The sequence below is a fragment of the Homo sapiens genome, chromosome 7, assembly GCF_000001405.40.
Source record: "Homo sapiens chromosome 7, GRCh38.p14 Primary Assembly".
Lineage (NCBI taxonomy): Eukaryota > Metazoa > Chordata > Mammalia > Primates > Hominidae > Homo > Homo sapiens.
In genome coordinates, this window is record NC_000007.14 from 142,871,171 (window position 1) to 142,893,440 (window position 22,270).

A 22,270-nucleotide genomic window follows, 5' to 3' on the forward strand; every position below is an offset into this window, starting at 1 on the left:
CAGATGGCACTGCAGAGATGCAGAAGGGCAGCTGGGCAGGGATCCGAAAACGACTTTATTGAAGATGGAGTTGGCAAGACCTAGCCCCACTTCCCACCCCCAGAGCCGTTCCTGTCTCCCTCACTCACACGCTTTCCACAAGCTCTGCACTTCCCTGCACCTGCCTGGGTGCCCTGGGAAGGGCTCTCTCCCCACTTATGACCCTGGGGTGGAGACCGAGCGCCCAAGCAGGCTGGCCTGTTTTTAAAGTGCTCTGACATGCAGTGCTCCTGTCGGAAGGGTGATGAGCAGGCCACAGGAGAGTTCCTCACGCCCTGCCAGCCCCGTGCTTGGGCTGGGCTTCCTCTGCCCCAGAGCTGAAGGAGTAATGCAGGCCTGGAGCAGTGATTCTCAACGTACATTCCTTGGCGTTCATGCTACTCCTCTTTCTCCCCTGGGGCCTGGGAGATGAGACCTCTGGGTGTTTGGTTTTTGTTTTGTTTGATGCACCCAGGAAAATGAGAGCAAGTTCCAGGAAGCGAAGTGAGAACACGCAGTCAGATCTGATATTCCCAGCTCTCCCCGTCCTCCAGACCCCTGTTGATTATCCCACGCAGGTCTCTCCTCAGGGTCCCTTGCCGAAGCCTTTCCCAATTGGCACTGCTGCGGGAGGTACTTCGAGACACTGAGGGCATAGGAAGGGACAGGTGGGGGCTGAAGGGACAGCCCAGCTCTAGTTTTTCCACTGAGTCTTTGTCCAAATCCTCAGAGCCCCGGGTGTGGAAGGCCTGTGCGTAGCGTTGGATCCGCTGCCGGTTGAGATCTTGCCTGTCTTCCACCCTGTGGAATGCGGGAGGACTTGAGACACAGCCAGGACTTGAAGAACAGATCCAAGAAGGATGCTTGTCTGTTATCCCCTGGTCCTCCCATCCCCGCCATTGCTGGCCTTTTCCCTTTTCTGCAGCCATGGTGGATGCCTGGGTCACTGGCCCCTTGGCAGCTAGGCCTCAGAAAGCAGCAGGCTCTGCCACAGACTCCCTGGATGCTTTGGGAAGTCTGAGCTCCAAACGGGACCCCTTCCTCACCAGCTCAATCAACAAGCATAGAGCCTAGGGAGCACACAGGCCTCCACAGGGAACCCAGGAGCCGGAAGCTGTCTGAGCAGGGGGATACCCTGCCGATGAGGCTTCTCAGGGGACACCTACCCCCGCATATCACTCACCGCAGGAACCAGCGGTCTCCCAGGCCATACTCCCGTCCGCAGATCCCGGAGCGAGGCCACAGGCAGCGAGGCAGCTTCCGCTCCAGCATCACTGTGGTGGCCACAATCTGCGTATGGGAACAAAAGGAGAAGTCAGAGATGAGGCTGGGCGCAGACAGAGGTAGGGGTAGGGCAGCCTTTGTTGACCTTCTTCAGTGGGAGAGAGTTGATAGAGCTTGAGACCAACAATTCTTTACCCAATGACCCAACATCCATGACGCAGCCAGGCCAGAGGCAGGAGAAAGACAGGAAGCAGAAGCCCCATTCCCAGGAGCACAGGCACCAGAGAAAGCAAATAGAAAGGGCTTTTAAGGGCTCCCAGATATTTTGACCCTACAGACATAAAGGCCACTTATAAATATAAACATCCCACTTAGAATATCAATATATATTCCTGGAGAAAATATTTTTCTGAGTGAACCTTATTTCCCAGCTTAGTTTTTCCACTCCGTTTTCTACACAGCATAGTTAAATGCCTTCCAGTTTGGGAAATTTCCATTATTTTGCTGAAATGATTTTTTTAGATAAATTATTTTCTAGGTGTTTTTTAAATGAGGATTTGATTCATCTCATGGTCTTCTCTCCCTATCTTGAAGATCTGGCTGAAGATAGCTTCTGCTACTATAGGAAGTTTTGGTGGCATTACTTTTTTAACACATCCTGCTTTCCATATCAAATTTTGCAGACTTAAATATTATCAAGAAGACTTGATACTCCAGTTTTTATTTGGGAACAAAATGTACTGAGTGCAATTTTAGCCAACGTTAATTTTCTTTTGATTTATTTCTTGTTGATTCCTCTAGAAAACACTGAGCTTTTAACTGTTGAGAAAACTGTGAGGCATTCTTCTCAGCGATTCCAGTATTGCCTGGTTGAATTGCTAATCAGTGCTTCTGTACATTTTGCATGATTTTGCTAGCTTTGCCACAACTGTCCAAACATAAGTGGGGTGGAGATATCCTGTCTCTCAGCTTGGCAGGTTCCTTGGTAGGAAGGGGATGACTTGCCCTAACCCTCCCTGCCACCAGGGGGCTCACCTGGGCCCTCCACAGCTCATCCCGCTCATGGGCCACTCGCCAGTGAGTGTCGCCCATCATGGCAATGAGGAGGTTGAGCATGAGCAGTGTGGCGATGATGGCAAAGGCAGCATAGGTGATGCTGTACATGAAGGGCAGGTCCACGTTGTAGTTGGCTGGGCCATCGATGATGGTAAGGAACAGCTCGAAGGTGCTGAACAGGGCCATGGGGTAGTCGTAGAAGTGGCCTAGCTCCTCGGGGTCCTCTGTCTGGAAGATGATATAGAAGGCTGCTCCACCCAAGGGGGTGAGGGTTACCATGGCAACCATGCAGACGACCAGCCCACCCCGGGCTCTGCGTGCATGTCCATCCTGGTCCCTTCATCTCAATATCACCAGCTCTGCAGTGCTCCAAACTTTGGGTTTTTACGGTCCCTAGTTTTGTATGAGCCTCATCTTGATCCTAAGAGCCACCTCTCCCTAACACTCCCGATTTTTCTCACCTCTGGAGGACGTCCCATCCTCTGATACCATAGGTCTCCTCTGATCTCTGCATTACTCCTCCTCCCCAAGTTTAGCCAGAGCCAGTGCCCCCTAGACTTCCTCATCTCTTCCCTGCCATGGCCCCTGGTCCTGGACAGATGATTACCTGAAGCAAAGCCCAGGATGACCACAGCCATCAGCCAGCAGAATCGCATCAGGTCGCCAAAAATCATCTAGAAGGAGCAGGAGGCAGAGAACATCTGCACACATTCCCCAAGCAATTGCCCCATCCAGCCTCTAACAGGTCTCACCCCGACAAGTCTCACAGCTCCACCCTCTGGGACAGGGATTGGCTATCTATGGCCTGTGGACCAGATCTACCTGACCTGCTTTGGTGTGGCCTTTGAACTGAAAAGGGTTTCTACATTTTTTAAAAGGATTGTTAAAAAAGAAGAAAAACATGCAGTGAGGCCATGTGTGGCTTGCAGAACCTGCAATGTCTACTGTTCTGCCCTTTATGGGACCGTCTGCTGACTGTGGCTCTGGGGCCTTTCTCTAGGGAGCTTGGGGGGAGGACTGACCTTCTGAATCATGATGGTGAAGGGGCCTAGCATCTGGAATCCTCGGGCGAAGTACATGACGTTGCACCAGCCCAGCACGAGTGCAAAGGACATGGGTACCACCTCCCCGCTGGCACTGATGAGCCGCATCACCATGGTCACCAGCACCATGAAGGCATAGGTGATGCTGGGGGAGCAGGGAGGAGGGTGATGAGGGGAGGGCTGGGATGATCCTGGGGACCTGACAGCAAGAATGTAGCTGGGAAAGTACCCACACATGCAGATTCAGCCTCCCCACACTCAATGCCCAGGGTCATACACACAGCACTAGAGAGGGGGCTCTGGAGCTAAGGTTCTTGAGAGGTCAGGAATCCAAGGAGTGGAACTGGAGCCCTGTTGAGGGAAGGGATGGGAGTGAGAGGAAGGAAACTCACATGAGGACATGGAATGGGCCCCCAAGGATGGTCTGTCCAAAGAAGCGAGTGACCCCCATTCTGAAGATGTCTGGAACCTGAAGAGGTCAGGGAGACACAAAGGCACTCAGATACCGGAACTTGGGCTGGATTCCTCGGGCAGACAGCCTCACCCAGAGTCCATCCACACCTCACCTCTACCAGCAGGATGATGATAGCCCCAATGACAGTCACCAGCTCCCCGACCAGCCGGATATCGTCCTTAGGGGTCATGTAGGCTTCCTAATGGGGGAGAAGAACAGTCAAAATGCTCAGGGCTTTCAGGCCTCTGCCCTGCATTTCCATGGTGCCCAGGGTCACCAGTCTTAGCAGATTCTTTTTAATCTGTTAGGTTTGGGTCTTCTCAAACTCTGCTCTCAGAGTAAGAGCGTATGTGTGTTTTTGTGGGCGTGCATTTGGAGTTTGTACCCATATATTTGAGATTAGAGCAAGGGGAGAAATGGTGTGAGGGAGGAAAGGGACACCAGTCTCTGAGGACAGAGAGCCAAGTCCTGCCCTGCTGATCTGCTCCTACAAGGGTGTCACCTGAAGTAGCTTCTGCTGTAAGAGGGTGTTGTCCCGGGGGCTCGTGCGGTTATTGGTCCTGGGCTTGAGGGGGCGGTAGATGCAGCACATGGTGAAGCAGATGATGTACAGCAGATATATGGCACCCAGCATGCAGAAGTACGGCCGCCCGTACCGCTTCCACTTGAGGCTCACCAGCTCCTTCACCGGCGTCTGGTCCAGGATCTGGCGAGCCTGCAACAGAAAGAGAACAGGTGGCTCAGAGACCCTGACACCCCTCCCCAGCCACAGCCTGCTGTCATGAGCCATACCTCCCGCTTCTTGGTGGTGATGATAAGTTCCAGCAGGGACTGCTCATCCCCTGAGGAGTCGATCTCTGTGAGGTCATAGAGAGTCGAGGTCAGTGGTCCATACGTCCACTGGGTGTGCTTCCGCTTCTGCATCAGGTGCTGAAACATCTAAGGGAAAGTGAAGATGACTCAGGAGCAGTAAGCAAAGGGGACGGTCACAGAGTGTGGATAGGATGCATGTGCAGGAGGACGGCACCCCTGGAGAAGGTGGCTGCCCTTTCATTTTGATGACAGCCTTTAGAGGGCAGAAGAACCCACATTCACAGTGACATTCATAGGTTCCTCATCCTCTCCCATGACTCCCTCCAGAGTTTGGAAAGGAGAGACGAGAGGCTGGAGGGCCCTGCTCTGGGGGCTGAAAGGGAAGGTGGGCTGGGGCATTACAGACAATCCTAGCATGGGATCTAGACTCTGTAACCCCCAATGCCTCAGGGGAAAAGGAGTGGGCAAGAAAGGGAACAGGTAACCACAGTGGGAGGGGTTGAAAAATTTCTGAGTTGAGAATGGGATCTAAGCATCAGGGATCGCGTTCACCTCTGTTTCTCCCAGGGCCAGCGGGATAGGTTGAGGGTCATTAGAAAGACACCTCAGGGATGGGGACCGTCTCTCACCACAGTGTTACCCTCCACTCCAGCCAGCTTGAAAGGGGTGAGACCCTGGTGATTGGGCACGAGGTCCAGGGGCTGCAGGTGGTCCCCATGTCTGTCGTAGGACAGCAACAGGTTGTACATCTGGCAGGCAAAGGTTTTGTTGGGCTGGAGGATGAGGATGTGTAACACTGTGTTTCCTGGGGAGGACACAGGGTATCATGTGGCCACTGGCCTAAAGTCCCTGATGTCCCCATCCCCACCCTGAGGTCTTCCTGAAGGTCCCAGCCCCTCTCCTCACCCTGTCCCTCACTCCCTGCAGCATCCCAGCTCCCCTCCCCATCTCAGCTCTTACCCAGGGAGTCCTGGGCCCGGATGTCAGCTCCATGCTCAATGAGCAGCCGCACGATCTCCTCACTGTTCACACAGGCAGCAAAGGACAAAGGGTGCTCCCCTGTGGACACAGAGAGATCTATGGTAGGAGAGTGCAGGATGGCAGGATGGGGTGGACAGTCTCCCCCAAGTGACAGCCTTATCTTCCCCCACATCTCAGCTCAGGGCTTGAGGACACTTTTCCTGCAGAACCAGAGGAAGGGTCGTGGGGTAAATTGGCCTCTAGTCTAATTAAGCCCTAGAAGGATTGCTCCTCCCAGCTGCCCAACAGATACGGCTGAAGACAGGATCCTCCTCTGCCTGGCCCTGCCCTGCCTTGCCCACCTTTCCAACTGCCCGTCCTCCAAGCCCAGCCCTGCTCTCACCAAAGTAGATGAGGTTGCAGGGACTACGGCGGAAGGCAGTGCCTGTGGCTCTGGCAGAGACACTGGCCCTGCGGGCAAGCAGGGCTCGCACCAGGTTCATGTTCTGGTTCACAACAGCGATGTGCAGTGCAGTCTGACCTGGCCCAGAGACAGCTGTCAGTCACGGGTCTGTCCCCAGGATCCTGCAGGGGGTCCCTCCCATATGCACCCCAGTCTCTTTCCCTCAGGGGTAGCCTGGGATGGAGAACAGGGAGCTCTCGGGTGTTCAGGATTCCCAGGGGATCCAGCTGCTGCCCATCTCTTCCTCTTCTCTAGGCCCCTGGCATTTCAGGGGGCAGGCGTTCTAGTGATGGGCAGTCAGGACTGACACGGAAGGGAGACAGAGAAGAGAAAAAAAGAGTAGGAGGCTCAGATCCCCTGTGTCTTTCCCAAATTATCCATCACAGAGACTGACTTGAAATACCCAACCAGTCACTCCTGCTCTTCACCCCAGACCCGTGGGCCCTCACCCTCATAGAGCTCAGATGTCATGGGCTCAAAGACCAGCTCCGGGGCAGCCTCCATCAGCACCATGGCGGCCTCCAGGTTGTCATAGAGGGCTGCTATGTGTAGCGCTGTTTCCCCCATGGCTCCTGGCATTTACAGAGAGGTGGGTTATATGGCTTCTGTGGGACAGCGGATTGGAGACGATAGATTCAGAGGCCAACAGCACGAGGTCCTGGGCACTCCTGGGAGGCCCCATGTGTGGGGCTCACCTAGGAGATCATGCTGCATTTGTGCTTCTTACCTCTCTGGTGCACCTTGCAATCCTCATACTTGAGCAACTTGTTCAGGGCCTGGACATCATTATCTTTGGCAGCTAGAAGGAGAGGAGACTCCCAGATCCTATGAAGGGATGGAATAGGAAAGCTGGAAACAGTGAGCATACCTAGTTGTGGAGGGAGAGGCCCTGGCTTGACTCCATTATTATACACAGATGTGTGTGCCTCAGCAGCAGGAACCTCAGGGTCTTCAATCAAGGCAGGTGGGGCCATTGATGTCTTTTCTCTTTACAGTCAGTAAATACAATCAACTTTTTGCCCATTTAGCATGCGTTTTGAGATTGTCCGTGACTGGTTTCCTTCCCCCCTACCGGGTCCTGGGACCAGAATGTATCATGTGTGAATGTATTATCAGTGCATTTCAGGTACGGAGGGGAGGAGTTCTATGTAGACATGTGCTTACCTGCTAACCAGTTTACCCCTGGAGTGGTCCTGTTTGACCCTCACCAGGTGCCCTGAGATTGCCCTCCAGGATAAGCCTTGTTTTGCATGGACCGAGGGGTGCAAGGAATTCCTGTCTCATATTTGTGGAGGGAGTCATATGCACAGGCTAGCAGGATTTCTCCTGTTGCACCATCCTCTGCCTACTCAACCTTCTCAGCAGAACCCTTTGATCCTGGCGCTTCCCTCCCAACAATAGCATCTTCAGGGCTTAACACAAAAGAACAGTGGACCATAAGAACAAGCCTGGCTCCAGGCCTTCCTTCCTCATAGGTGTTCATTCATTCATTCATTCATTCATTCATTCATTATCTCTGTCTCTTCCTTTCTGCCTCTCGTCTTTCTTCTCACATCATCTCAACAGCCTTCCTTCTTAAAGTGGACCCCTGGATCAGCAGCAGCACATGAGCCCTTATAAGAAATGGAAATGCTCTGGCGGACCCTTCCACCTAGTGAATCCAAATCTGCAGTTTAAGAAGATTTCCAGCTGATTCCTGGGCATATGAAAGTTGGAGAAGCATTGCTTAAGTGGTCCTTGCATGCAAAAACCGGTGGCGATAAATCAGAGACAAGCTCAGGGGTCTCAGTTTCCAAACAGCTCACATTAAAGTTTGCGAAACAGTGTTCTCCATCATTTTCAGACCAGCTGTCTAGAGGGCTTTAGATACTACTTTGTTTCGGCTATTGGCCCCTAAGACACAAACTATGGCCAACAATGACAGATGCAGAGAAAAAAGAGAATCCAATCTAGAGGATTCATTCATCGAATTTCATGTGCATCTGAATGTTCCCATTCTGTCTTCGGACCCTTCCTGGATTTACCCAATTTGGGATTCATGGATCCGTTTATTTTGCTGAGTCAGATTAGTCTCTCCTTATTATCCACTTCTCGCTTGTTTTAGGCAAAATTATCTTCTCTGAATCCCCAGATCATCTCTTTATTCTTATACCTACTGTGTGCTAAAAATCTCTTTTAAAATTAGAACTTACCCCAACTAAGACACATGGGTCCCTTTGATTCAATTTTCTCTTGGCCTGGAGCCATTTGGTCTTTCTATGGGAGTAAATGAAATAACTCTATTTATCCATAGTTTGACAATTATGTGACATACAAAAAGACATAGACAGGAGCTCACATTCTAAAGCGCTGGCAGTGGCAAGAAATTGACTCCAGAGCTGGAGGTGGGAGGGCAATCAGAGAGGAGACATCAGCTCACTCATCTCCTCTGCCTTGCCCCCATGCACAGCAGCTGCCACCAGGTCCTGTCAGTTCAGCATGGAAAGCTCTCTCTTCATTCAGTCCCTACCTCCTTGCTCCTGCTAACCCTCATTAATTCAAGTCTTCATTCTCTAGCCCAGATTAGCAAAATGCTAAGGATAAGGAACACAGAAGCTCTTTAAGGTCTTTGTGCAACTACTTTTCCACCCTCTGCACGTCCCACCCACTCCTTAGACCTGGCATTTTGGTCTCATCCTGTCTCAGCACTGCAGAGCACACCATTCTCCCTATGTCTGTGCCCATGAAGCTCTTTCCTTCTAGAATCCAACTCCCCCAGCCCGCCAATTGTTCATTGTGTCTTCTGCACTGCCTATGCCTAGAAATACACCTAGGATGGTGTAGATGCTCACTGACACCATCTGTAGAGTGAATGAATCAGCAGCAATGCCAAAAGGTGGTTTGAATTAACTGTTATTATTATTTTCATCAGCTGCCCGCTAAGCCAACTTTCAGCAAGCATATAAGTGAAAAATAGTACACTTGGTATGCAAACACAGCTTCAAAACAAGTTTTCCACATTCCCTCCATCACCACCACCACATCAACCATTTGCACAAAGCCCTCCTCTCTAGATACCCTAGACTGAGGGGAAAACAATCGCTAGCACCACATACACACACACAGACACTCAGAAGTTCTTCACTCTCTCCTGTGGCCTTACTTTTATTTCAGCATCTTTCACTGGGTGCTGTAATTGCTATGTATCTGTGTCCCTTCCTCTATGCTAAGGGTACTCGAGGGAAGAGACCAGCCACTAACTCTTCCCTGCCCTCCTCCAATATGCTTCCACGTTTGTGTCCCATTTTGACCAAATGTGTGAAAGATTGATGGCAAATCTAGAAATGGGTCCGAGAGAGCACCTTTTCCAAGTCCAGAGTTCTACTCGCTGTATCCTAGATGTTAGTGGTGGTATAGTCAGTGGCAGGCTCAAAGATTCCCCTTTGGTCCCTACACGTCTCTGAAGCTGAAAGTGTCCCCCATAAACCTCCATTCCCTATGAATTCTGACACTCTAGTGGCCTGGGGAAAACAAAAAGCTACTGTCAGACCCAGAGTTGCTAGAGTTACCAAATAAAAATACAGGATGCTCAGTTAGATTTGAATGTCAGATGCACAATTTTTTTTTAGTATAAGTATGTCACGTGCAATATTGGGGATACACTTATACTAGCAGCCTATTCGTTATCTCAAATTTAAATTGAACTGAGTGTCCTGCATTTTATCTGGCAACCTAGCCAGACCACACCCTGCGTGAAGAGCCAGCTTATGACCCAACCCAGCAAGGTTTGTAGAGAACTAGCCTCCTCCGACTGTGAACTCCAGACTCCAGCAAAAAGGGGGGCCCAGCCTGTGGACGGGTTTTGAAGGTATCCGGCCCAGCCATTACTTGCAATAACCTCATATGCCCACAAGGGGACAGCACAGAAAGCCCTAGCTCACCTGCTTGGGAGTAAGGCTGACCCCAAAACACCTGACTCTCCTTGGGTCCCTGAAGGAGGTGCACAGAGCTGACCTACTCAAAGATTCCTGTGCTTGGGGGACAAATAGATTTTTCAATAGCAACTTATCACAGGAGTTTAGATCACAACACGGGGGTCAAAGGCAGGGACACGGCTAAGCACCCTGCACATGACAGCCCTCACTGCAAAGAATTATCCTGTCCAAAATGTCAATAGTCCAAGGTGGAGAACCCCTGATTCAGAGGTACAATGATTCATAATCCGTTTTAGAATGAGGATTCTTCACTCGAAAAGGAATCAGAAATATCCTATACATAAAAATGTTTTCTTATGGATCACTAAATACTCAACTAAGGGAGAAACAAAAAAAAGTCAGATGAAGCCTTTTAAGCTCCCACTGATGAAGTAGTCAAAAGAGATTATAGAGCAAATCTGAAACTGTAACAATATGAAAGGTATTTTCAGGTTCTAGAATGTTTTCTTTTACTAGGCAATTAATTATAATAAAATTGAACGGTCTAGTTCAACATTAGCCTGGTGAAAACCCAACTAAGGGGTTCCTGGCACAAAATCTAGCACATTATTTCTTGAGCAAACAGATCAATGACCTCCTTCTCAGGGCTGCCTCTGGGCCACCAGGGAAGGATTCCTGACTTCCTCTCTCCGTCTCCTCCGCCCCACACCCTCATCTGCTCCTCCATCCTTGTAGATGTGTGCACTGTGTGCATGGGTCCAATTTGGTTTTTAGGTGCTGAGAAACAAGGCAGGATCACAAGACTCTTGAGAAAAGTTCAAATAAGATTTTTAGAGCTAGAAAGCCCCTCAGAAACTGAGTCAAATCTGCTCATGAAACAGATGGAGGAAGCAAGTCAGAGACAGAGCCACGACGCATGCCCCACTGGTCATTTCTTGGTCACGATTCTCAGTTTTAATCAGGGCTGGAAGAGGAGTTAGAGAAGACAGGCATGGGTCCCACTGGTCTCTCCACAAATACCTTTCCCACCAGTGAGTGTACCCTCTGGGCAGGGCTGGGGCTGGTACATAACAGGGTTGCTCGGAGTGCGTGGCTTCTTGCATTCCTGGGTGGATACAGTGCTGTGCAGGGGAAGTTCATGGCCCCTCTCATTCCCGCAGCATCTCACTCATTATCACTTTTGCTCTTTACAACCTTCTAACACCAGCTGAATAGTTCTCCCATGCTTCAGAAAAGGAAACTGAAGCGGCATAACCAAATCATTGCCAGAAGATCACACGGAGTTAAAGGCAGGATGCTTGGCCAAGAATCCAGCCCCAGGCTCTGACCACTAAATTATGTGGTTCTTCTAGTTTTATGGCTCCTCCTGATTTTTCTTGGAGGTTGGGGGGCAAGCCTGAGCAGTGACCACAGATGAAGGAAAGAGCGGTAATGTGTGGGGCGGAGGCATACATTGGGCACTTGTGGGCCACCTCCCTCCAGCTCATGTTCCTGGCAATGGGGATGAGAAAGCCAAAGTGGTTGTTTAGAGATTTGGAATCGGCTGCCATCCTAAGTGCCACAGCTCCTTTTGTGCACATGTCTATTTGCGCATTTACAAGTAGGCATGTGTGTAAGTATTTACCAAGGCAAGCGTGCACAATATACCAGAGAAACCCAGGGATGACTTTTCAGACACTCAATTCACACATTTCATACAGGTATTTAACCCTAAAAAAAGCTCCAACAAGCATCACCTTCCCTCCAAATTGCTCCTTAGATGACAAAGTGCCAGCACATGGGCTGGAGTGGGGTTCAGGTTAAGCAGCCTCTATGAAGCTGCCCAGGACACCCCACAGCAGCCGAAATCAGATCTCACACTTCCCCCTCTATGCTTCCAGAACACTCATTTACACCCTTCTAGTGATGTCTACTAAGCCCATCTTTAGCCCCGTATGTGCCTTCAGTAAACTTTGGTCATAGGAATGAGAACTCCCTGAGAGCAGGAACAGTGTCATATTCATTTTCTGCAGAAAGGTGGAGTGCCTTATGTTCAATAAATGTGTAATGCATTAAATATCAGGAAGTGAGAAAACCCAAGCCCAAGGGGGAGATGACCTGGAGGACACGGGAGAAAGTTGAGAGCTCGACTTGGATCCCAGCAATGTAGATTTAAGCAGAGCGGGCTGCGTGCTAAGCACCAAGAAACGTCCACTGTAAAAAGAGGAGTTTGGGTTCCCGATCATCCTGGAGAGACTCAAAGCCTTCCTTTCTCACTAGACCATCCTGTACCGCATGGAATCCCACGCAATCCCACCCCACAGTTCTCCCTGTGAGTCCCCTTTGGAACAAATTCAACTTCACCATTTACTTGCTCTAGGGTTCTGGGCCTGCCCCATTCATAGGGGGATAACAGGACCCACCTTCCATTATTGTTACCGGGATGACGGAGATAAGGCAGGTGGTAGTACCTAGTACAGCACTGGGTTCTCAATCATTGTGTGCTCCTTTCTTCCATTAGCTCACCCCTCACTTGTCCATATTGTTCCTATTTACTTAGTCATCCCATGTTTATCTCAATGCCCCCATGCCTTCTCTTTGGTTGACGGCACAGATTAGGAAACTCCCCTTGCAGGCAATTTCAGCATCCTTCTGGGAAGTGCCCACCCAAAGAAGAGTCATTGCTCTGGACACCTGATATCCAGCAAGAAGAAGGCCAAGAAAGTGCGGAGGCCAGTAAGGAGATCAGGGCAGGGAGGGGGGATCCCTCCCAAGGGTGACATCAAGCCTTTCTAGCCAAAGTCTGCAGAGGCAGCCCCCATATGATCTGAGGAAAAGTGAGGGCAGACAGGACATGCGGAAGCAGCCTATTCTCAGCCACTCAGCGCAGGGCCTCCCCTCTGCTCTCCCCTGATATCGCACACAGGGAATCTCCACCACCCCTTCCAATCCCCCAGGCCTTTTTGCACTCTGTGCCTGGATCCCCTGGCCCTGGGGTCCTAAGAGTGGGAAGAGGATGAGTGAAGCCAGTGAGGACGACCTACTCTCTAACAACAATGCCATTCTGTTGCCCCAAGATGTCATCAGCCAAACATGTGCTCCAGTCCCCACTCTCCCAGGCCTTGGGGGAGAGGTGGGCGGCTGGAGAGATGGGAAGCCATAATTCACAGAAAGAGACCATCCCCAACCCAGAATCCTTCAGCAAAAGAAAACACAGGGGCCTCCAGGCAGCCTCCCCGGTCAGGCTAAAGCAGGCTCCTACTCTTGGGGTCAGAGAAAAACCCTAAGGCACAAAGACTTCAGGCTTTCCTCTATGACCAGACATCTGCCTCCTTCGTGACCCAGGGAAAGCCCCAACAGGCAGGACTTCCTTCTAGCATGCCACCAACTGGGTAGAGAACTCTATTAGAGACCTTGAAGAAGAGACCACATGCAGGGATAGCCCTGAGTTCCGATTCCCTGCTCCTCTCCTGCTCTGTACTCCAAGCTGTCATGGTGAAGAAAGCAGGACACGGGTTTAGGAAGTTTTCAGGGGCTGGAAGCCACCAGTGAATGTCCTTAGGGCTTAAACGCTAGAGTCTCGATTTCCACCACCTGAATGCGGAAGAGCACAGGTCCTCGGAACATCTGTTATTTTGACCCGCTTCCCCTCAGTCCCCACCCGCACTGAGAGAGAAATACACCTCAAGGTTGGGTTTGAGCGTTGTAGGTCTTCATATCCCCCCAGTGCTGGGCAAATAGTAAGGCCTTGGTCAGTGTCTGATGAGACAGATACATAGGAATGGTCACTTTTTTCACATTTTGTCTTATTTTCTGGTTCCTGGTGTCCGCGGTTCTCTCTGCTTCATTCATTCAATCGTTCACTCATTCCTCCATGCGAACATATGTATACTATGTGTTCCTGCCAGAGAGACTGTTCTAGAGGCAAGCAGTGGAGATACAGAAGGCATTGTCCTCACCTGCCGTCCCCTCTTGGGTGGAGGGGCTGTGATGCTCTATCCTTACAAGCCCCAGCAAGACGCCTGGCCCTTAGAGAAGTACTCACAAGAGGCTTGCAGAATCGAATTAGATCTTAAGATAGTGAACACCTGTGCCCATCTCAACCCCATCCTCTTTCACCAGCCCTACAGGCTGAGGCTCTTAAGACAGAATGCTCCCAAGGAGCCAGTCCGGGCCTGGGAGCACCATCTGTCCAGCCAAAGGTGCCAAACAAAGACGGGAGGTGAGGGAGGGGTGAGGGGTAGAGGTGCAGGCCTGGGGAGGTGGGGAAGGGAGCAGACCAAGGGGGCCTTACCTCTTCTGCTGCAGCAGGTTCTGCTCATCTCGGCTCTGGGCCCAGGACTCCCGTCTCTGGAACCATCTGCAGAACTTGCTCCATAGGCAGAGAATTAGCCCTTTCTCCTTGGGCAGTGACAAACCCATGGGGTGTAGGGCCGGCTCCTTGGGGGCCTGAGGCCGAGGCCAGACCCTGACGGGACTCAGCCTTGGGGCCACATCAGCCCCCCCAAGGGCCGGCCCACCGTCTCCCTGTAGAGGTCCCGTCTCCTGTCTCCTGCCTTCCTGACGAGTTCCTTGGGAGTCTCCCAGCAGCCCCAGCCAGTTTGGAGAGGGCTGTGAGTTTGTTACACTTGGCAGAGCCAGCCAGGACTCTGCAGGGCTGGCCTGTCTGGAGCTCCTGCTGGGAGTGAGCAGGAGGAGCCAAAGCTGCACGGACACGCCCTCCCTCCTCCCAAATTACCTGAGATTTAAAGACACAGGCCAGCCACAGACCTGCCTACCAAGGGGGACTTGTGCCAACTCCAATTCTTTCTCCACCCAGGGCTCTCTCCCTGCCCCCAGGCCAGTCACAACCAGGGAGGCCTTCAGAAAGACTGGCGAGGCCTCCCTTGGACGTCAGAACACCCAGTGACCTACCCTGAGAGACTCTAGGCAGTGAGAAAGGAGGGGAGGAGTCAGGGCAGGCCCATTCCCAATGTTGAGGACTCCCAGGAGGGAGCGCCCCACTTTCCCACAGTGCCTCTTCTGCCGACCACCTGCCTCACTCTCTGCCTCCCCCTGCTTATGTCCTGGAGAATTCCATTTTCTGGACTCTTCCAGTTTCATTCTTGCCAGGCCTGAAATAGGTATATAAATTGCGAAGATACTCAGTTCTCCCAGACTTTCCTCTCAGTCCCCATCACCTTTGGGTCAGCAAACTTTTTCTGGAAGGGCTGATAGGAAATGTAAAGATGTTAGGTTTTGCAAGCCATGTACACTCTCTAATGTACGTTATTCTTTGGTTTTGTTTTGGTGGTTGTTTTCTAACCACCCCCAAAGATGTAAAATGCATTCTTCGCTCACCAGCCAGGGCACAAAATCTAGCTCTGGGCAGACCCCCTGCTCAGGAGCTCCACAGACTGTCCACAATGCCCCGTGCATGGGGTGGGTGCCCGATAAAATACAGGACACGTGGTCAAATTTGAATTTTAGATAAACAACAAAGAATTTTTTAGTATAAATATACCCCACGTTTTGCAAGTATTCTATCTGCCAGCCTTCCCGTGGAGGTGACATTCAGCTGCTACTGTGTGCTGGGCCTTTTAACTGAGCGTTCCCAGGTAAACTCGTAACAAACCTGCAAGGCAGGTATTATTATCTACATTGTATTGATGGGAGAAACCAAAGCTCACCATGGTAAAGGAACTCTCCCAAGGCCATAGAGGTGGCAGAGGCAAGATTCACACCCATCCCTCATTCCAAGCCCACTTCTTTCTCCCTAGCACACCTCCTCATTCTAACTGGCCAACAGAGCTTCAGAGAGGTTAAGTGACTCGCACAGTCATACAGAAGAATGATGGCATTAAGCATGGCCCATCGTCTTCCCACAACAAAGAGCTCCATCATGAGCTTGCTGGAAGCTGTCGGAAAGGTCATTTAGTTCAACTTTTCCACTGGAAAGGGGCAGAAGCCCGGGCTTATCCAACCTCCTGGTGCCAGCCAGGTGCCAATAGCCTAGGGGCAGGTGTCTGGGTGTTCAGAGTCACAGGTGTGTGGATCACTTCCTAGCTTCAGAGTCTGTTTTGTCCTAACTTTCTCTGACTCAGAGTTGGAAGACCCAGCCAGGGGAGTGTGTGTGTGGCGTGTGTATGGCGTGTGTGCCCATGTGCATTTGTGTGTGGTGTTTATGCGTGTGTTCATGATGTGCATCGGTGGGGTGTTTTGTGTGTGGTATGCTGTATGTATATGATGTGCCTGTGGTGTGTTTGGTATGTGTCTACGTGTGTATGATATATGTGATATGTGTAGGTATGGCCTGTAGAGCGTGTGGATGTGGTGTCTGTGATGGTATGTGTGACATGTGTGTTGTGTATATACGTATTGTGGAAAGATTGTTGCATGTGTGTTGTGTGTATGGTGTGTAGTGGGTGATGTATATGGTACCTTTAAGGTATGTGTGCGTGTACATGATGTGTGTGTGTGTGTGTGGTGTATACATGATTTGTGTAGTGTATGGTGGGTTTACTATGTGTGTATGTATGGTGTGTGTTGTGTGTGTATGTATGTCATGGGGTGTGTGTCATATGTGCTGTGTGTGGGGGGAGTCGGTGTGTGGAGGGAGGTGGATGCTGAGGTAGGGCAGGGGAGAGAAGGACCCCTTCAAGTGGAAAGCTATTTGTGTTCCTGCCGCTGGGCAGAGGCCAGGCCACGCAGTCCTGAGCAAACAGTTCAATTGGATTAGCTTCGTCCCCACCCACCTGGGTCAGTGGGTTCGGGCTGGGTTGGGGGAAGGTGCTAGAACCCAAACCTTGAACCCCAAGACCTTTGTGCCCATTAAGCCAGTGGTTTGTCGCTTCAAAGACCTATTTAGCTTCAAAGACCCCAGTTTAGTGTCTGGTGGGGAAGGAGAGAAAGCAATGAGGCCTTCGTTACGCTGGGGAGAGAGGCTGGGGGAGGGAGGCTTTGGGAGGGAGACTTAGGGAGGGAGGAGGATAGGAGGAGGACAAAGTTGTTTTCCAATGCTCTTCCTCTTCCTCAGCCTCCTCCACCTGGTGTTGTGCATGGATCAGCCAACAGACTCAAAATTGGGGTGTCCAGATGGGAGGGGAGGACAAGTTTGCAGGATATAAGCTTCTGGCTGCAATGTTCTCTTGGTCTTTGGACCTAACATCGTATCAGTAAGGGAAGGTGGCCCTAGGGTAGGTGGCACTACCCCCAGAAGCTCCTGAAAGCACCCCCACCAATCACTTTCAGTCTCGCATTTTTTTTTTTTTTTGAGATGGAGTCTTGCTCTGTCATCCGGGCTAGAGTGCAGTGGCGTGATCTCGGCTCACTGCAAGCTCTGCCTCCTGGGTTCACGCCATTCTCCTGCCTCAGCCTCCCGGGTAGCTGGGACTACAGGCGCCTGCCACCATGCCCAGCTAATTTTTTGTATTTTTAGTAGAGACGGGGTTTCACCATGTTAGCCAGGATGGTCTCGATCTCCTGACCTTGTGGTCCGCCTGCCTCGGCCTCCCAAAGTGCTGGGATTACAGGTGTGAGCCACCGCGTCCAGCCTCAGTCTCACATCTTAAACCTGCATCCCATATTGCTTGTTTCCAGGGGACAGGAAGGATGCCGTGGACCTCCTTCTCCCTTGAGACTAGCACAGCCCCCTCTGTGCCACTCCACCCCAGGGCAGCACCTCCTGACATGGGAGGAATCGGTTCTGTAACCCACAGTCAAGGAGTGGGCATGCCCAGGAGGCTGTGAGTTTTGGGGTGAAGGTGGTGAGGGGGAGACTGGAGATCCTGGGAGAGCACTCACGGGGCTGGCCTCTCCCGGTTCCCTTTCCCAGGCTCCAAAAATAATAAGACTTGTGTGACTTCTGAGTGAGTCGCTCTTCCTCTCAATGATTTTATCCATAATGATGAGTGCATGGCCTGACCTCTTTTCTGCCCTCGTGGTGGCCTCTGACCAAGCCCTGAAGAGAACCGAAGGGGTCAGGAGCCAAGAGGGAGGGAGGACAGGACTGGAGCAGGCAACCTGGGGACCAGGTGGTTAAACCAGTCCTCCCTGCCTGGGGCTGAGCCTCAAATGCTAAGTGAAAGTGAGGTCCTCAGGCTTCCCTGGGGGCCCCAGGGCAGAGTGTCAGAGCCTCCTCTGACGGCCCCTGAGAGGGGCAGAGAGGTCACAGTTACACAGTCCTGAGCTGGAGGCACAGGAGCTCCAAAGAGCTCCTGTGCCCCCGATGTTTCCGCATTTGGGGCACAATTTCTCGACCCCGGCACTATTGATATTTCGGAACAAATAATTCTTTTCTGCAAGGGCTGTCCTAGGCATTGTAGGAAGTTTAGCAGCATCCGAGCCTCCACTCACTGGGTGACAGTAGCATGTCCCTCCCCTCCATTGTGACCACCAAGGAATGTCTTTACACGCTGCTCATGAATGTCTTTACACGCTGACATTGGCAAAATCATTCTCCATTGAGAACCACTGATTTAGAGCCAGAAAAGTATATGTATAGTTTTTTTCTGGCTTTGTCACTTTTTATTTGTCCTATGTCTTTCTATGTTTCGCTCAGTTTTTCCTGTCTTACTGCCTCTGTCACTGTGCAATAGTATCTCTGCTCCCTTGCTCTTAGTCTCTGTGGTGAGGGGTGTGTGTGTGTGTGTGTGTAGTGTGTGTGTACATGCATTGCATGTGTGTGGTATTTTGGGGGTGTACTGGTGTATTTCTATAGTGTGTGTGGTATTTTGGGGGTGTATTGGTGTATTTCTATAGTGTGTGTGGTATTTTGGGGGTGTATTGGTGTATTTGTATAGTGTGTGTGGTATATGTGTTGTGGTATGTCAAGTGTCAGTGTGTGGCCTGTGGCAGTGTCCCCTGGCCTCTTGGAGGGCGTGTCCTTGCTCTCTGCTCATGAGGGATGGAACCAGCAAGGGGTAGTGAGGTCAAAAGCATTGCTTACTCACTCAGCTTGGAGTTTGTTCCAGTCACTGGGTTCACCAGCCGTGCGCCAACTCATAAAGCCTGCAAAGGAGCCCATGACAGTTAGTGCATGCACACACACACACCTGCAGACACACACACACCTGCAGACACACACATGCACACACACACCTGCAGACACACACACACCTACAGACACACACACAACCTGCACACACACACACCTACATACACACACCTGCAGACACACACACACCTGCAGACACACACACCTGCAGACACACACACACCTGCAGACACACACATGCAGACACACACACACCTACAGACACACACACACCTGCAGACACACACATGCACACACACACCTGCAGACACACACACCTACAGACACACACACCTACACACACACACCTGCAGACACACACACACCTGCAGACACACACACACCTGAAGACACACACAGACACACACCTGCAGACACACATGCCTGCACACACACCTGCAGACGCACACACACCTGCAGACACACACACACCTGCAGACACACACACGCACACACACCTGCAGACACACACATGCACACACACACCTGCAGACACACACACCTACAGACACACACACACCTGCAGACACACACACCTACAGACACACACACACCTGCGCGCACACACACACCTGCAGACACACACACCTGCACACGCACACACCTGCAGACACACACATGCACAGGCACACACACCCCTGCAGACACACACACATCTGCAGACACATACACATGCACACGCACACACACACCTGCAGACACACACACATGCAGACACACACACATGCAGACACACACACATGCACATGTACACACCACATATACACACATCAACATACACACATACACCCCATACCACACACACACACACAACCACCACACACACATGCACACCACATACTACACAGCCCACACACACCACACCCACATGCAGCACACACACAGGCAGCACACACCACCCATACCACACATACACACCACTTACATACCACACACACACAACCACCACACACACATGCACAGCAGACACCATGCAACCCCCACACAAAGCACACACATGCAGCACACACCTACCACACACACACCACATACCGCACATACTACATACCACACACACACCACACACACATGCGTCACACACCACACACATTGCACACACACCATATACCACACACATCATGCACACACACTACAGACACCGCACACACACACACACACACACACACACCCTACCCCCTACACCTCCCACCCCAGGGATGGGGGCGCGGTACGCTGCTGCGGTGCCTGACTGGAGGTATCTGACTGTCGCGCTGGCTCTGCAGTTCCCTGGGAAGCACTTTGTTCTGAAACTCTCCAATGTCCTTTTGTACTCAAACATCCAGCGCATCTGAAGAAATATGCTTCACCCACGGTCCCAATGCACACGAAGTCACTTCAACTTTCATAGGTCAAGAGGTCTAATTTATTGCAGAACTGCCATGCACCTTTCCCTAGAAAGTGACTTTAGTCCCGGATCCCTTTTCTCATCCCAATCACTCGTTGTAGCTCCATCCCTGGGGCTTCAAGCCCTCATTTCCTACCTCCCAGTCCTTGGCCCCACGGAGCCTCCGCGCCCAAGGAGCTTCACACTCCACACGCTTCCTTAGCAAGATCTGGGGGCAAGATCCAAGAGCAGGGTGGTTGAAGGGCTGAGTTGGAGATGAAAATAGGGCACAGGGAGGCAGAGGTGATGAGCAGCCACACCATGCAGCCAGTTTTACCATCTAGATATGCATGTGCACGTTATTTGACATAAATGTATGCATGGTGTATTTTGTGTCAAAATGAATCAATACATGACAGTGATGTTCCAGAGCAATTGTGTGTGTGTGCACGCAGGTGCCTGTTTTCCAGCATCTTCCCAGCAGTCTATAGATTTCAAGACCCACAGGCATTCAGTCCTCCTGGGCCCCTACCCCTGTGTAGAATGCACCCAAAGGGCATACGTGGGCATCTGTATGGCCACCGTCCCCTCTTCTCCATTTCTCCCCACTGTCTGCCAGTTCTCACCCCTCTCCTCTCCCACTCCCCTCCTCAGTGGAAGGTGGGTCCAACCTTGGGAGTGCTCATGTAGTTTACAGCCCCTCCATCACCCTCTCAATGAGTTTGAGTTCCCCAGCCAGAAGATGTCAGGGGAAGGGCTGAGTGCTGATCTGGGGAGAATGGGTACTGACCCTCTTGGGTTTGTGAGAGGAGGCCTGAAGCTTTGGAGGAAGCCCATATGCCCCACCTGCTCTGCCCAGCTGCAGCTAGAATCCCCCTGCCCCCTGCATGGGTCCCCTGACATCTGGTACCCGCAGGAGGATGCCAAGCTCTTCAGTCTTGCCCTGGGCCCAGCCTCTGGTCCTTCTGGCCAAGTTTCCCCCAAGCCTCTTTTTTCTGCCCCTCATCTTTTTCTCTCTTCCTCATGAGACCCCAAGTTCTCCTCCCTGTGAGAACTGGACCCCAATCCTCTTCACTCTACCATACCTGGCCCCATCTCTTCTCTTGCAGGCACAAAAGACAAACAAGAAGAGAGGCTGCAGCCCTTTGGGAAGCTTTACAAGTAGGCTAAGTGTGCCTTGCAGCGGATCGGCTTTCTGGGAGAAGTAAAATGGAAAGAGCAATTGATCTGTAATAAAGACAGCTGCATTCTAACCCCAGCTGACCAGAAATCACTTGGTGTCCTTGGCCAAGTCACTTACATTTTCATTTCCTGATCTACAAAAATAAGGACTCCAGATATTGAGTGCCCCTGTTCCCTTTTCCATTCTCTGCTATCCCAGGTAGCCCCCCTCAGCTTCCAGCTATAGGCAGGATGGAGCTCAAAGCTTCATTGTGTCAGAAAGGGCTCATCTCTCAGGTTAAGCCTGACTGTCTTTGTCTCTGAGTTACACAGGAAGGAGAGAGCAGGCCGCAGGCAGAACATGAAGACACAAAGCCTCTGATTCTCCTCTGACCTTCCGAATGACAGGATTCTGTGGTCCAAGTAGCTCTGGCTGAAGAGAGGATGAAGCTCCTGAACCATGGTGATTCTTGGAGCTCTGGAAAGCCACAGATATGGAGGGGACAACGTGCGTGTTCCCTCTGACAAGGCGGGAGTGGGCTGGCTCCCCAATCCAGGGCAGTGTCCCCAGACTCTGGACTCTAGGTCACCAACAGTTTTCACTCCATGAGAACCTGGCTGTTGCCTCTTAGCCAGAGAGTGGGGAAAGGAGGGTATGTGGGGGCCACTAAGCCCAGAGTAAACAGCATTATTTGGGGCTCAGAAGACAGGAACAAGCCTTTATCCCAAAGCCCATCATGGCTGTTAAAAATTCAAACCCAAAGCAGAATTCTTTTCCAGAAGCATGCAGTCTGCTCACCATAGCCTTC

The 22,270-nt window shown here is 51.4% G+C and overlaps 1 protein-coding gene across 1 annotated transcript, besides 1 other annotated feature; it reads right to left on the reverse strand.

Annotated features, from left to right (window-relative positions):
• TRPV6 (transient receptor potential cation channel subfamily V member 6) lies at positions 38–14,575 on the reverse strand. The gene is given in 15 exon segments (NM_018646.6): positions 38–819; positions 1,202–1,308; positions 2,278–2,546; positions 2,906–2,972; positions 3,321–3,486; positions 3,734–3,810; positions 3,908–3,994; positions 4,298–4,510; positions 4,588–4,734; positions 5,238–5,413; positions 5,569–5,667; positions 5,972–6,109; positions 6,481–6,603; positions 6,759–6,856; positions 14,219–14,575. Coding segments are annotated over 15 exon segments (2,298 nt in total). The 5' UTR covers positions 14,467–14,575; the 3' UTR covers positions 38–536.
• Positions 9,754–10,048: a silencer, noted in NCBI's record as "tiled region #15349; HepG2 Repressive non-DNase unmatched - State 13:Ctcf". NCBI's record gives its function as "represses a minimal TATA promoter and a strong SV40 promoter by Sharpr-MPRA in HepG2 cells {active_cell/tissue: HepG2}" and the evidence as "EXISTENCE:reporter gene assay evidence [ECO:0000049][PMID:27701403]".